The 16,745-nt window shown below is 38.5% G+C and overlaps 1 long non-coding RNA gene and 1 pseudogene across 1 annotated transcript in view; one reads left to right on the top strand and one right to left on the bottom strand.

Moving 5' to 3' along the window:
- Positions 1-230: 230 nt before the first annotated feature.
- LOC100996262 (uncharacterized) lies at positions 231-1,057 on the bottom strand (annotated as a pseudogene).
- A 6,973-nt stretch (positions 1,058-8,030) lies between these two features.
- LOC105377475 (uncharacterized) overlaps positions 8,031-16,745 on the top strand; it is a 37,313-nt gene continuing 28,598 nt past the window's right edge. Inside the window, exons 1-2 of the long non-coding RNA XR_939315.3 lie at positions 8,031-8,174; positions 9,043-9,166. This is a non-coding gene — a long non-coding RNA (uncharacterized LOC105377475). The remainder of the gene's footprint in view (positions 8,175-9,042; positions 9,167-16,745) is intronic.

Genomic DNA, 16,745 nt, shown 5'->3' with positions numbered 1-16,745 from the left:
GGGACAGGAGACTTGTCTGAAGAGGACTGCAATTGCATCCTAAACTCCATTAGGAAAGGATAATATGAGCCTTGCTGTGGAGAAAGTGAGTCAAGTTGGTAGAGAACCAAAGATCCGAGTTGTATTCTTTCTTTTATACACAGTGCTAGTGATGCCACTCTTTGACTCTAACCACATTCTGACCTTCAGCAAGATTCCATCTTAACAGAAAAGGACCACAAATTCTCACCCTACAGCAGCCAGATTAAAAGATTGTGGATACCGAGCATCACATTACTTTCATGGGGGACAAAGGCAAGTGCTGTTCTGCACACGGCATTCACAGGCTCACTGTCTCCATCCCTTTCATCAGTGCTTCAGCACTGAGTCTGGTCAAAATGGTAACACGTGGGAGAAGCAGAAGGGCTTCTCTCTCTTCTCTCTGCAAACACATGCATAGGAAGCATTGCATGTGCTCTACCTGAGCAGGCTCCGTGGGACTGTAAACAAGTCTAGGATGTTGGAAATTAGAATCTTATTTACTTATTCATACAATATATTGAGTGCTTGTCAGCTGATAGGACCCATGGCAGGTGCTAGGAACAGAGGGATGTGCAAGATGGATGTGGCCTCTGTCTTTATAGGACTTACAGCCAACTGGGGGTCATAGCACACGAACAATTATACAAGTAAGTATTAAAGTATAATTATGTGAATTGATGTATATAGAAGAAGTAAACTTTATGGAGAGCACACACCTTGAAGTGGCCTGGCCTAGGCTGGGAGTCAGGAAATCTTGTCTGAGGAAAACAGTGTTTATGCTGACACAGAAAGCACAAATATTGGTTAGCCAGATGAAGAACAGGGAAGAGTGTTTTAGTTTTGGGGCAGAACAAACATGAAGTCCCTGGGATGGGAAAGCATTTGCGCATCTGAGGAGGAAAATGAAGATCAGCACAGTTGAACATAAAGATGAGATTTGCAAGGGCAAGTTGGTGTAATTCCTTGTGGTAATGTATCCCTTGTGCAGTGGGAAACTGTTGAAAAGTCTAAATAGAGATAGTGTGGTGTTATTTTTAAAAGTTCATTTTGGACCTCATGAATAACTAGAGATATCAAAGGTGGAGGTGGGAAAAGCGGCTAAGAGACTACTGTAACAATGCAAGTGAAGAGATGGTGGTGACTTGGACTAGGCTGGGTGATGTGAATGGAGAGAGACATATGCACATGTGTTAATTGGCTTTTCCTGAAGCCTTACCTGGGCCATGTCCTTTTTCACAGCTAATTAGGCCAAAGCATTTAAATCATATCTTACTTTCTGGGAAAGAATTGCTTCCCTTTCTGTAAATGGGCACAGCAGTACTTGTATTGTCAAGACTAATGCTTAGTTCAGCCAGTCATCATCAGGAAGATTCTAACAGTGTAAGGCTAATTTGTGTACTGGATGATACTGGATTAAAAGTGAAGCTATAGTACTTCTACCCCTTGACAAGCTGTCCTCTATACATGGTACATTGAGAAAGCTGGTTGCAAGTAATTAATAAGATTACAACTGTAACTTAACATGATTAAGTGAAGCACCAAGGTGTACCATAAATAATTTAAACAGTCAGAATTGTAAATGAACAATCTGCATTTTATTTAGACCACCAATCTTTTCTTACCCAGGTAACTGACAATGGCTACTCTATGTCTTAATCCATTTGTTTCCTGTCTCTTTATCCTAGCCCACTCTTCTCTACCGGGCTCTCTGTTGTCTGGTGGAATCCTCTGTGTTTCACCACTTTCTTGTCATGCCAATTCCCCTGCTCTCTGCTTTTGCCCTGTATTTCCTCCCCTTTTCCTGTTTACTTGGGTAGCTCTCTCTCCTTTTCTCTCCTATTTTCTTTGACCTGTCACTTCCCTTCTGCTGCCCCACACTACACTGATTTCTTGCCCTCTCCTTCAGTTAGTTCTTTGCTCTTTTTTCTGTTCTGCTCTCACTGAAGGTTTCTCTTAGGAAAATCTTCTACTTTTCATAGGACAGAGGGAAGTTAAATTCCCAGCTCAGTAATGAAGCCCGTGTCTCTACTAAAGTCAGGAGAAGAAGCTGATTGGATAAGCCAGAGAGCTCTTGCCCTACTTCTGGGAAACAAAAACATGTGCTATAACAAGGGATTTATCAAGGTTCTATCAATACCAGATCTTTTTTTTTTCCCAAGACGTGAGCTTTGAGACTCAAGTTCTACCCCTAAAGCTTACTCTAGTAACAAATGTAAACATTTGTTACTAGATAGAGGTAAACAGCATGTATTGTACATACTAATATCATCACACACATCAAATTGTGAAACAATCACACGGTCACATCAGATCAGTGGTCATCAAATTTTAGAACTGGAAGAAACATTAGACAAATTTGAATAGCATGTTAATTGGAAAGAGTAATTAGGCATCACCTACTAAGAGGAGATCTTATGGCAATGAAATTGAGGACAGGTTCACGTTCATGAGATGAAGAGAAATGAACAACTTGAAGGAAGTGGAGCATAGCCTGGCCATTCATGAGGCCTGTGGGAAGAAAATGTCAGGCGAAAAGGTCATCAGAATGAGGCACAACAAAGAACACAAGTGATGCCCACTTTGTATCTAGGCATATGGGGGTGCTGGACCAAGTGTGTGCAGCTGTGACATCAAACACTATGTTCACCCACTCATGAACTTTAGCAGCCAAATCCCATAAGTCACGGAAAAAGGATGATGAAGACTTGAAGTCATTTATGCATTCATTCATTCATTGAATAAATAATTATTAAGCCCTTACTATGTGCTAGGCACTCTTCTTGCAATGAGAATATAGTAGTCAACAAAACAAAGTCTTTGTCGTTAAGAAGGTTATCTTCTTGTGTAGGAGACAGATAATAAACCCCAAACAAATAAATGTACTACTACTACTAATAATAATGATTGACACTTATGCTTACAATTGGCTAAAGATTCTTCTCATTGTTTTACATGCATTAACTCCCTTGATACAACCCTTTTTAAGGTAGGTATCATCATAATTCCCATTTTACAGATGAGACACAAACAGGTGAAGTGCCTTCCTTAAGGTCACATGGCCCTAAGTGGCAGAGTTATATAGTGTCAGTGATAAATATCATGAAGAAAAATAAAGGTCAAGAGATGCTGTCTACAGATCTGGCCAATGGAAGTAATATAATTTAGAGTAACAACAGAATATTTGGAATCTGAAATCTTGGATCAGTGTGCTACATCCAAGCTGTCTGATGTTAAATAAATTACATCATTTATTTTGGGCCTCAGATTTCTCATCTGTAAAATGGGGATGAAAAACCTAGTTAAGGAGTTTCTGAAAGCATAAAATAAGATTAAATTATGTAACAATTGTAAAGATTGAGCACAGTCCTGAAGAACATCATATGTATATTTTACATATATGTATTATATATATTTTATATATTTATATACGTGTGTGTGTCAAAATTAAACAACAGGGCTTGAAGCTCAGCAACAGCAAAAAAAAAAAAAAAAAAATGAGAAGACAAATTGCCTGTTGCTGCATGTTTCTGGGACAAGATTTAGTAACTCAGAAGACTAAGAAAGAATATAAGAGACTCAGATCTCTCTCCAAGGCAAATGGACTCTTTCAAGAAGTGATCATTTTCAGCATATATGCAAAGGCAGATGCTCCCTGAGGAACTCTGACGCACTAGGAAAGAACAATGGAGTAGTTGGAGAGAAGCTGAACCCTAGGGGTTAGCAGGACTTTACATAACCCATAACCACAGGGGAAGCCCTGAAGTTGGAATGCATCACACAGCCCCTGTTGGTCATAGAACTTAGAGCTGAAAGTAAAAGAGCTGGGCCAGCCTGAAGCCTTGTTACTGAAAGACATTTCATCTGGCAGTGTATAGGTGGCTCCTTGTACAGATCTAAAAGAAGAGAACATGGCCTGAAGCAATGACGTCTGATTTCATTAGAAAACTTATACAACCTCCTAATGCTCCCTTTTCCAGACTTACTCTGTTCAGCAGGAATCTAGATGGTATTTCTCATTATAGTAAAATGAAAAAAAAAAGTTATTTGTCACTAACGTGTTCCTCAGTTTTTTTTCTCCTTCCTATAATCATGTTCTTTGCTTATCAAACATTTACGATTCATTATTAATATTCTGAGATACGGCCAAGTTCATTCAAAGGATAGCTCTGAGACACATATTATTTTTGGTTGGTTGGTTGGTATATTAGAAAAACATAAGCCTCATGATTCCAGAGTAATTTTCTTGGTCAATCAAAAAGACTTTAGGAACCTTGACTTCTGACCAAGGTTAATGTAGAACAAAAGTTTACTGCCAGCGTTAAAATGTATATTGGCATTGTGGTAAATGCTCATGGTTTGAAAATGAAGAATAGATTTTATGCTGGATTTTGCCAGTATTGTCTTCTGACATTTTTGGAAATCTGGCTAGCCTCTTTAGACATCCCTTTTTCAATGGTGAATGAGAATAATAAGGGTCCATAATATTGGTGTGTTAGACAGTGGTGTAGCTTCAAAAGGATTTATCTCTACTGCATAGGGATAGTCAATCAAGGGAAAATAAATTAATGTAATACTTTATAGGGGCAGGAAGCAGGGAGAGTACAATGTAAGCTTTGTATTATATAATAAAGTATAAAGGTTGAAATGTAGTATCCTTAATGAAACTTGTTTTAAAATACTCTTTCAGACTACTTTTAATATGATATAGTACGTTTGAGAAGTGTCCTAGGAGAAAGTGCAAGGGAAAATAATCTCCACATATTTATCATTGTCAATATTAACACATTTCAATAGAATGCCTAAGTATGTGTGACCTTTAGTTGAATACCTTAAAAATGATTGCTGGTGATACACATTAGTGGAATCCACCTTGCTCTGTTCTTCTTGGTCTACCAGATACCCACTGGCCATTTTTGAGCCTTTCTAAAAGACACAAAACTGGAGATCCCAATTGTTTTACTGGCCTTCAGATTTTCACTAGACTTGATTCAAATTCCTAACCTTTCTAATATAAATTTCCTGAGACAAACAACCTGGAGTGACTTTTACCACTGAAACTTAAAGTTTGGTGTCACCTATACACCTAAGCAGGTTCTCAATAAATATGTGTAAGTGTATTCATGGGCAGCTCCAATGTGAGCAATCAGCACTGTCTTTTATTTGAAGGATACTGTCCTTTAAGCGTAAGTCATGCTGACATGTAATAAATGGAGTATCTATGTTTGCTACAGTGTTCTGAACCATGGGCCCCTCAGAGCAGTGACAATTAGAGATTCAAAAAGGCAAACAACAAAAAAAGAAGAAGGTTAAGAAAGAAGGCTTCAGGGAGGCCAGCCTGTAAACCTGAAGAATGCTTTAGGTAAAATTGGGAGAGTGGTCTTTGTGGAAATGCACATATTCATAGCTCTGGATAGAATGGATAGATGGACTTGTAGGCAACTTTTGAACAAAAATTATTGCCTCTTTCGTATAAAAAAGTCAGTTTCACATTGACTAATTTTTTTCAAATTTTTTTCTGCTGTGTTTCTAGCAACTCAAAAGCGATATTGCATGATTCTATGTCTAGAAAATCCCATAGTCTCAGCCCCAAAGCTCCTTAAGCTGATAAACAACTTCAATAAGGTCTCAGGATACAAAATCAATATGCAAATATCACTAGCCTTCCTATACATGAACAGCAGCCAAGTTGACCACCAAATCAGGAATGTAATCCCATTCACAATTACCACAAAAATAATAAAATACTTAGGAATGCAGCTAATCAAGGAGGTGAAAGATCTATATAATGATAATCACAAAACATGGCTGAAGGAATCAGAGATGATACAAGCAAATGGAAAAACATTGCATGTTATGGATAGAAAGAATCAATATTATTAAAATGGCCATACTGCTCAAAGCTATTTACAAATTTCATTCTCTTCCTATCAAACTACCAATGACATTCTTCACAGAATTGAAAAAACTATTTTAAAATGCATACAGAACCAAAAAAGAGCCCAGATAGCCAAGGCAATCTTAAGCAAAAAGAACCAAGCAGGTAGCATCACATTACCTGACTTCAGACTACACTACAGGGCTACAGTAACCAAAACAGCATGGTACTGTTTTGTACTGTAAAAAACAGGCACATAGACCAATGGAACAGGGTAGAGAGCCCAGAAACAAGGCCGCACACCTACAACCATTTGATCTTCAGCAAAACTGACAAAAACAAGCAATGGGGAAAGGATTCTTTAGTCAATAAATGGTGCTGGGATAAATGGCTAGCCATGTGCAGAGGATTGAAACTGGACCTTTTCCTTACACCACATACAAAATCAACTCAAGGTGGATTAAACACTTCAATGTAAAACCCAAAACTATTAAAACCCTGGAAGGCAACTTAGGCAATACTATTCTGGACATAAGAACTGGCAAAGCAACTTATGAAGATGCCAAAAGCAATTGCAACAAAAGCCAAAATTGACAAATGGGATCTAATTAAACTAAAAAGCTTCTGCACAGCAAAAGAAACTATCAACAGAGTAAATAGACAACCTACAGAATGTGAGAAATTTTTTGCATTCTACCCATCTGACAAAGGTCTAATATCCAGAGTCTACAAGGAACTTAAACAAATTTACAACCCCATTAAAAAGTGGGCAAAGGACATGAACACTTTTCAAAAGAAGACATACATATGGCCAAACAAGCACATGAAAAAGAACTCAATATCACTGATAGAGAAACGCAAATCAAAAGCAAAATAACATACCATCTTGCACCAGTCAGAATGGCTATTATATTTTTAAAAAATCATAAATTATTTCAACCATTGTGGAAAGCAGTGTGGTGATTCCTCAAAGGGCTAAAAACAAAGCTACCATTCTACGAAGCAATCCCATTACTGGGTATATAACTAAAGGAATAGAAATTGTTCACAGAGACACATGCACGGCTATGTTCACTGCAGCACTATTCACAATAGCAAAGACATGGAATCAACCTAAATGCCCAACAATAGAAGACTGGATAAAGAAAATGTGGTACGTATGTACCATAGAATACTATGCAGCCATTAAAAAAGAATGAGATCATGTTCTTTGCTGGAACATGGATGGAGCTGGAGGCCATTATCCTTAGCAAACTAATGCAGGAACAGAAAACCAAATACTACATGTTCTTGCTTATAAATGGCAGCCAAGTGATGAGAACACATGGACACAAAGAGGGGAGTAATAGACATTGTGGCCTACTTGAGGGTCAAGGGTGGGAGGAGGATGAGGAGCCAAAAAAAACAGCTATTGGGAGCTAGGCTTAGTACCTGGGTGATGAAATAATCTGTACAACAAGCTTCCATGACATGAGTTTACCTACGTAACAAACCTGCACATGTACCTCTGAACCGAAAATAAAAGCTAAAAAAAAAAGTATATATGTAAATTCAAAAAAGTTGTAAATATTTGAAGAATATATATTCATAGCATGGATAATATGGATGTATTTGACAAGGAAAAAATGTTTTTGCAAGATTTACGTAAGAAACAAAAGGAGCACTGTGGCTTGTTGGGTTCACCTCAGCCATAAATTACTTTAACAACTGGCACAATAGGCTCTGAATATACAGTTGTTGAATAAACGAAGAAATGTAGTGATCCATGAAGAGTAGAATCTGTAAAAAGTCTTTTGAGTTTTGGAGATATAAAAACAGAAATAGACTGGTCACAGTGGCTCATACCTGTAATCTCAGCACTTTAGGAGGCGGAGGCGTGAGTATCTCTTCATCCCAGCAGTTTGAGGCCAGCCTGAGCAATATGGTAAAAAATCTCTATCAAAAAAAAAAAAAATACAAAAATTACCCAGGTGCTGTGGTACATGCCTGTAGTCCCAGCTACTCAGGAGGCTGAGCTGGAAGGATGGTTTGAGCCCGGGAGGCGGAGTGTGCACTCCAGCCTCGGCAACAGAGCCAGACCCTCTTTCAAATAAATAAATAAATGAAAATAAGACCAGAAATGCTCACTTTACTTTTTCTTTTTTTCCTAAGTTTATTAGAGCCCCTCTCCTTAACTTCAGTGTTCCTTCAGCTGACTCTGCCTCTTCAATGACTCTCCCACCATGGCCAGGCTAACAGTGTGTGCTTTAACAGGGATGGTGGTGACACCCCACGCTCAGTAAGTCTCTCTGGGCTCTAGTTCTCATCTATGTCCTGAATGCCCTTGCTCTGGTCAAGAATACCTGTCCTCTCTTCCACTGCTTGATTCTTAATTATATTCTTTACCCAGCTGCTACTGTGTTCCTGGTTTTAAATGTAAGTATGAGCTTTGGCCCCTTTCTTTATCACACAAACCATAATCTGTGGAGTTTTTCTGTCTCACCTTTGTGCCTTACCCAGCACCGGTCTCTCAGTCTCTTTCCTACCTCTCAGGCTACAGTGGCTGGGTGTGCCGAAGATTCCTTAATGGCCAGTGTAACTGACTGATGTGTTTCTTCAGGAAGCTTCTCCATACCTCAGACAAGCGCACACCCAGAGCTTGAAATCACAGGCCTATAGACTCGAACTTTTCTAGGTAGTTCACTAGAAATAAAGGAGAAACCTAGGCTTCAGGAGAGTTCTAAAGGCCCGCTGTGTCCTGAGGCTCAGGAGTACACTCCACAGGGGTTGATCTGAGTATGGCCAATAGGACCAGGGGCTAAGCATTTTAACCAGAGCATCCCCAGACTCCAGGCTGGTGCCTAGAAATGCAGTAGCAAACAGAGGTCCTGCCATCCTTTCTTCTCAGTATGGCTATTGCTGGTATCTAGGTTTTCAGAGGGGTTTAGCCCACCTACCTGCTCTCATGCTCAGCAAGAGAAAGAGAGATAGACAGGGTCTGCCCTCCAGCCAGAAGCCTACAGCCTCCCAGCAGCAGCAGCATGTATAGAGGCTCATGCGGGAAGAGAGGACCTAGGAAGCCAGATATGGGCCTTTTCCAGTCCTTCATAGAGAGCAGTGCTCCATGTGCTTCTCCCCTGCTCACAGGTGATCTGTTTCTGTCTCAGGACTGAGATGATGACGTAAGGAAGTAGTCACAAGGCAGTATGGATAGCAGGCAAGAACTGGGGTCCCGGGGCCGCACTGCCTGGATTCCAAGCCTGATTTTGCATGCATGACTTGAGACTTCAGGTAATTTGTTTAAACTCATTGTAACTCAGTTTTTTCTTTATAAATTGATATTTCATCATGCAACAACTGTTTATTGTGCTAATTATTTGGGAAGGGTATCATTTTGGGGGCTAGGATATAGCCATCAACAAACCAGATAACGTTCCCTTCCACTGTGCAATGTTAAGTTCTAGAAGGGTTATAAGCAATGCACAAATACATACATTTCTTCCGGGAGATAAGAGCTGTGCAGAAAAATAAAGGATGGCAAGGGAATAAGCAGTGGGGTAGAGTATTTTCATGATCAGAACAGTGTTCACTGGGGAGATGACATTTGACCAAAGGTCAGAATGCCATGAGGAGTAAGCCATGCATATACCTGGGAAATGGTGTTTTGATTAGAGGAAACTTCAAGTGCAAACACCCTGAAGCTATAAGCATGCCTGAGATCATGACATGATCTATTAAATACAGTTGTTGTGACGTTAAGTGAGTTAGTTCATTAAAGTTGAGCCTGCTAGATAAATATTTCTTGATTAATATTAGGTATTAGTATTATCAGAATGCTTCATACTTTCTGGCCCAGCTGGTCCACTTCCACACCTGACCTGTGGCCTCGCTAATGTTGGGGGACACTGCCACCTGCTGCTTCTTGTTGGTAAACCATTGAGTGTGAGTAGCATGTTGAGAAGCTGATGTGGAGTCTGATCTTCTGCCCTTGGTGTCCCTGTATCTTGGCTTCTTCTGGCTAGATGTTCACTCAGCTCCTTAAATCCACTCTGTTTTCTGCTTCATCAGATTTCTACCATTAGTACTGCCTATGTCACCTGTCAAGTGTCAGCTTGCCTTCCAACACAGTGCCTGACATCCAGGACAATTGTCGTATAGGGAGATGTCTTTAAACACAGAAGACTGCTTTCAATACATGTTTCACTAGGGCCTGTGCTTCTGCCAAATGGCTATCTTTGGCTTTGAGCCTAAGAACCCATGGAGAAAAACAAAGATACCAAGTTACGGTGGAGTCTAATGAAAGAAAAATGGACCATCTCCCCCAGAGCTACCACTGCTTCAATGCATTCACCATTTAAGGCTGGTACCTGCTCCCACAGACTCATGACTTTCTGAAACAGCTCTGTTGAATGCATTTGTAATTTGCCACTAAAAAAATTATACTTCCACGTGTTTACAACCTTGTCCATATCTGGGAAAGTGACAAGTAGAAAGTTGGCTTTCTAGTCCTTTCTGAAGGAAGGGTCTGGCTTTGGTCTGTCTGTGCATACAATGGTGCTGTTTGGTATATGCAGAAGCCTGGGTACCTACAGGATTTGCTTAGTGAATATATCTTATATGACCTTCTGGTCCATCACACTTACATAATCCCCTAACATACCATCCCATAGTCAATAACAATAACATCAATTACAATAGACATTTCCTGAGATCCTATTAAAAAGTCATATGTTGGCTAGGCACGGTGGTTCATGCCTATAATCTCAGCACTTTGGGAGGCCAAGGTGGGAGGATGACTTGAGGCCAATAGTTTGAGACCAACCTGGACAACATGGCAAAACCCTGTCTCTACTAAGAATACAAAAATTGGCCGGATGTGGTGGCAGGCGCCTGTAATCCCAGCTACTCAGGAGGCTTGACACGGGAATCAGTTGAACCCAGGAGGCAGAGGTTTCAGTGAGCTGAGATTGCACCACTGCCCTCCAGCCTGGGCAATAGAATGAGACCTTGTCTCAAAAACAAAACAGATGTTTTGCTAAAAACTTTTTATTCATTATCTCATTTCAACCTTGCAACAATCCTATGTGACCCAGATATCCCATACATCAGCAGGTTGTAAGATCACACCTCCCATGAATATCCAAACCACAATAATCTAGGTCTCCTTTCCTTATTACTGTCAGAGGTCCAGTGGCTTCCCCAGTTTCCCTTTCATGAATCTCTTGGAACCCCTGGGAAATTCTTCCTGTCCCTAAACCTGTCTATCTATGGCATGTTGGTTTGGGTTTGCGCTGCTACTGGGCTCTTCTGAAGGTCTCCTCTTCCTGTCCAGAGACTCTTTTCAGGCATCAGGGGCTATTCTCCTGGCACAGCTTTGTCTGAAGTGTAGGCTCAGATGCTTCCCATGTTTTCCTATAGTGATAGGGAAGATTGAGCTGTAATGTGTGAGACATTTATGATGGCTTTGGGGAACAGAATGAATTAATGCTCAGAGGACTTAATACTGGTTATTAGATATGGTTACTGTGGGAGTCCTCAGGCTCAAGCCCCTTCTAAAGCCCCAGCGTGCAGTGCATAGAGCTTTTAGCTCCCTCCTTCCAACATATTGCAGGGGTCAATTTAAAATGCTGGCACTTGGATATCCTTGCAAATATCTCTTGTATTTTGAGTCTAAACTTCTTTTTTCTCCAGTCCTAAACAGAGGGACATTTATCCCATATTATCTAAAATCTTACCCTTGAGCTTTCATTTTCTACCTCTGGATGGGGAGCAATCTCATCTCTAGCCACAGGACCTTACCGTAAGGCCCCCAATACGTAAAAACACCATAAACCAACATATGGGGACATTTCTCAATTTCTGAGTGATTCCCTGCTGACTCACTGCACATACGAGGCCTAAATAGAGCTGTCCAGATTGAGCCTTGGCATTCCCAGATCAGTCCCTTACAGACATGGGGCTAAGACCAGCTGCCACACCCTCCCTGACACCTTTCAGCCTCTGCTCCCAATCTCCATCGTCTTTTGTATGTGTTATCCCATTGAGTTCTCACCATGGTCCAGGCGAACAGATATAACTGCCTTTTGCCACTCACTATGCACAAAGTCAATGAGATTGGAACTATTATTAGGTCCATGTCACAGGTAAGAAAACCCAGGTTTAGAAAGGTTAAGTAACTTGCTCAAGGCAGTAGACATTTATACATAGAGGGCACCTTGTGTATTCCACTTGCTTTCATCCAGTGCTGCCCTCTCCATCAAAGATATTTATTATCTCTAGGAAACCCTTAGCCGCTTCACTAACTACCGCTCTGTCTAGTTGGCTTTCTGGCTTTGGAGCAGGCTACTCGTATCACCACTGATCTATGCACATGGACGAGACAGCTCTCATACCACAACCTTAGGACCTCCACTTCCCTGACCCCTCCATCTGGAGATCTTCCTTCTCTGCACTGCTGTAAAAACTTATTTTTTTTTCTTAATACACATAGCATAGCATTTTATTATTTATTACAGAAAGTCCTCATTAATCACTACAGAGAGTCTTACACTGTTCTCCCATGCTTTTTATTTCAGTAAGTGCTGTATTTGTCTTCTGCATAAAATTAGAACTCGAAGTTATCCTGAAGGACCATGCCTTAAATGTATTTTTGTTATCTCTAAAGAATGTAATGTTATGCTAGTTGTCTATAAGATGCTAAATAAATATTGGCTTGATAAATCCTTTATAGGAATTAACCAAAAAGGAAGGAACTGGTATAAATAAGTCAATAATGTTCCTTAAAATACATGTTTTAAATTATTTTTCATATTGCCAGTAAACTTTAAAATGTTAGAAATTGTCAATGATAATTCTAAAGCAAGTAGCAAAGCCTTTTTATCTTTTAAAAAATTTAAAAATTTTTAAAATAAGTGGTAAAAAAGGAAACAGACACATGTGGTTTTTAATAACTCGGAAAAAAGGTTAAACCGTTTCTTAGCGTTTCTGAGTAATAATTTCCACATGTTAATTGTTAGATAGTCTTATCTTAACATTTTCTCAAGTGTCTCCGGATATCTTTGTCATTTACTTTATATAAGTAAATTAACAATGTGAGCTTTGCAATTTAAAAAAAGAGATTTTTGGTTTGATTTCAAAGACTATTGTTTAAAAAAGGCAAATTCCATCACCTAATTTTGAAGCACTTAGGTTTAATGGCGTTCCTTTTAACATATGTTTAATAAAATCCTGAATTAAAAGCTCAATTAGTTTACTATATGCTTTGTGAACAGCACCTTTTTTTTCTGCCTTTTCAAGAAACTATGTTGCTTTCTGATTACACATGATTTATCTTTGGTCTTGTTTCTTAATGTTTCTGGAGTTAAAAAAATATCTTATGGCAAAGTTAAATCTACTTTAGGAACATTCACATAAAAAGCCAAAGATGATCTCATGGGCCATTGCTGTGCCCTTAAATAATATGAACTTGATTAAAATCAGACGTTGAAGTAGATGACATTCACTGGAAAGTTTTCATTTCTTTCCTATTTTCTTAAAATCCCCAGAAACTTGTTTATTTCAGCAAAGAGCCCACCCTCTTCCAAACACATCAGCCTTTGGAAAGCTTTATTTAAATGCCTCTGCCGAATGAAAGGCTCTTTTCACGCCATTTCAAGCCCCGAAGTACCAAAAGGGTAAATAACTTGAAGTATCATTTTTGACTGACTTGGCTTTGAAACAGGCACAGCCTGCGTAAACAGCTGCTCAGCTGCGCTGCGAGAAGCTCACCGCCTCTCTAAACATTTCCCTCCGTTATCTCCTAATGTTGGTAACAATGATAATCACCTTAATTCACTGGATTAATGAGTTAGAGCCCATAGAAAAGGACAAAACCCATAACTTTCCCACAAACTTAGTTAAATGTCAAGGTTTTTAAAGGCCTAGTTAGCAAGTATATTAGATGAGATATGTCAGTTTCCCAATTTACGACTCTGACTTGTCTCTTGTGATTCCTTATAGCCTCTAGCCATTCTCCTCTTACCTGAGGCATTCTCTGGCAAAAACCTGATGCTTCCAGTCATTCTGCATTCTTGTGTTTCTTCAAAAATAATTGGACAGGCACCTTTCCATAAACAATCATCATTAGTTATATACAGTACACAGATAAGAATACCACACCAATAAGTTTCAATGGAATGTCTTGAGCCAAATAGTAATAATTTGGCCTGTGTGTTACAGATGTGATTGACAGAGAGTTAATGCACTTAGCACTTTTCCAGGAGGCTCTGAGTATTAGCTTCTTGATGCTCAGAAAGTCCTGCTCCCAGAAAAGTGACATAGACATTGACCATTGAGTTTGTTGCTACTCAATAGCCGATTCCGTTTCCAGACTCTATGATTAAAGTCATTATAGGAACTGTCAGCAGAGGGGAAGAAATAGAAACTGTCACAAAAAGCAACTGTCTGAAATGTTAAAGATTTCCATAATGTTTTAAAGCAGGGAATTTTAACTTAATGAAGATCAACTTGAATTATAAAGCTGCAAGCTTCAAATATTTTCTGCTAGATTGATTATTGCCATATCCCTCCTGTGTTTTTTTTTTAAGTCTTTCTTAGAAAAATTCTGAAGAAAACAAAAGCAAAAACAAAACAAAACGTTTGTACTTATGGCTATGAACAAAGTTTACAACATAAATTCATTAACATCTTTCAAGGGTCTGTTCTTAGAAGTATGTATATGCTGTGGAAAAACTAATGAAATGAAAATTCAAGCTTAGTAAAATAAAAGCACATAATTTGAAAGTTTCCAGTATTTATCTTTATATTCGAAGACCATAAGTACAATGTTCAACTGAAAACAATAGTTCCAATCTAATGATGAGCTCATACGTGTTTACAAGTTGCTACAAGTTATATTTTTCCTAATGTTAAAATGAAAAATCCTGATTTATAATTACGATTTATTACTGTTTTTGTAATCTTATATATACAGTATTAGATATAGACTATTAAAATAATTTATATTAAACATTTTAAAAATGTGTTAATTTTTAAAAAGTGGATTTTGAATACATGATCAAGTATTAACACTATTAGATTATCAATTAATGTTTTAGCTCATTTTGCACTGTGTTTAAAAGCAAACAGGAAGTCAGAAAAACTGTTGCAGACCAGGGGAGCCTACCGAGACATGATGACTACATGTAATGTGCTATCCTGAATGAGATCCTGGAACAGAAAAGAGATACATAAGAAAACTAGTGAAATTCAAATAAAAGTGTAGAATTCCGTTCTCTAATATTTATTCTCAGTTGTGGCAAATGTAACATACTAGGGTTACGTTAGGACTGCCATGGGACATTGGTACATTAAAAGATCGTTGATCTTAAATTCAAATTAAACTGGTGTCCTGTATTTTATCAGCTAAATCTGGCAACCCTGATAGTAATGTAAGATGTTAACAACAGGGGAAGCTGGATGAAGTGTGTACAGGAACTCTCTTTAATATCCTTGCCACTTTTCTGTAAATCTAAAATTTTTTCAAAATAAAAAGTATCTATAAACTTAAAAAAAAAAAGTGGGAAAACGTATAGCCCCCAAATGCATTTTGCTTGAATATTTTAGTTGGAGCATTTTATACACCTAAGAAAAATTAAAACCTGACACTAACCTAAGCATTATTATTTTTTCAATATGTAAACAAGTTTACCCTTTAAGAAATGTATGCTTTAACCCCATTTGCCTGTGAGAGGAGAGACTGAAACAATAATACTAACAGTAATATTCTACTATTTATTTTTCTTTTCTCACCTGCTATGCCCAGGTTTTGACATTAAGAATATTGTGTTTGATATTTTCTGCATTAAAAACCACTTTAGGCTTTGGTTCCATTTTACTCCCAGTCAGAAAGATCAGAAAAAGCTCAAGTAACACAGTGAGAAACTTTATCCACTGAATGAGACATTATCCATTCCACCAGACTGCAAATCAAAGAGTATCTCTTAGGCTGCTTAAAAATTCATTTTAAAATCTGATCCTGATTGTACTTATATGGTAATTTCATACCATCAATCATCCTTTTACCTTTAGTCTCTGGGTCCACTGCTCTCCCCATAGAGCTCATTCACTCTACCTCATTATAATTCCTTAGGTGAGAAAACAGGGTAAGAAACCTTAACAGAAAATGAGAGAAAGATGTAAATTTCTTGAGAAAAGTCAGGTTCACTAAGAAGTAGAGCTAATGACATGTTCTGATCTTTTGTTTTTGGATTAAAATATAGGAGGAAAAATGGACCCCAATAAAGCAAAAAAAAAAAAAAGTCTCCATGCAAATAAGATAGTTGTAATCTGCCTTCAATCTCAATTTTATACCTTATAGTTTTTACCTGTCATGGTTCTGACTTGTTTCTGCCATTAGAAGTGAACAAAAGAAATATTTTTTGAAACTCTCTGGAACTTTTCTTTCCTTGTGTGATGTTTGCCTGCCCTTCACCGAGGCCACCTCCTTTCTAATTCTGTTTTCAGGGAATGGAATTACCAGAGTGAATTATCAGCATGCAGCTATAAGCCACAGAGAGCAGGCCCCTCTCTAGGTATATAAGTTCACACAGAGTTATGGGAAATCAATAATATAACTTTGGTTATTACTCTCCATTTGGCAATGTATATATGCCTGCTCCTGCTAACAATTAATCACTGGAAGAAAATAGCATGTGGCTGTGTGTCAGCTGCAAAGTGCTCATGGCAAGTGAAATGATTTCTAACATCCAGTTTAAGTCAAGCATTCGTTCAGCCTTTTTCAGCATGATTCAATTTTACTAACAATAAATGTTATATTTTTGCTCCATTGATTTGAATGCTGACTCCAGTGTAAAGCATCTTTCTTAGAGCA

This window comes from Homo sapiens, chromosome 4, assembly GCF_000001405.40.
Source record: "Homo sapiens chromosome 4, GRCh38.p14 Primary Assembly".
Classification (NCBI taxonomy): domain Eukaryota; kingdom Metazoa; phylum Chordata; class Mammalia; order Primates; family Hominidae; genus Homo; species Homo sapiens.
The sequence above is the reverse complement of the archived record's forward strand: the minus strand, read 5'-3'. Positions and strand labels throughout refer to the sequence as shown.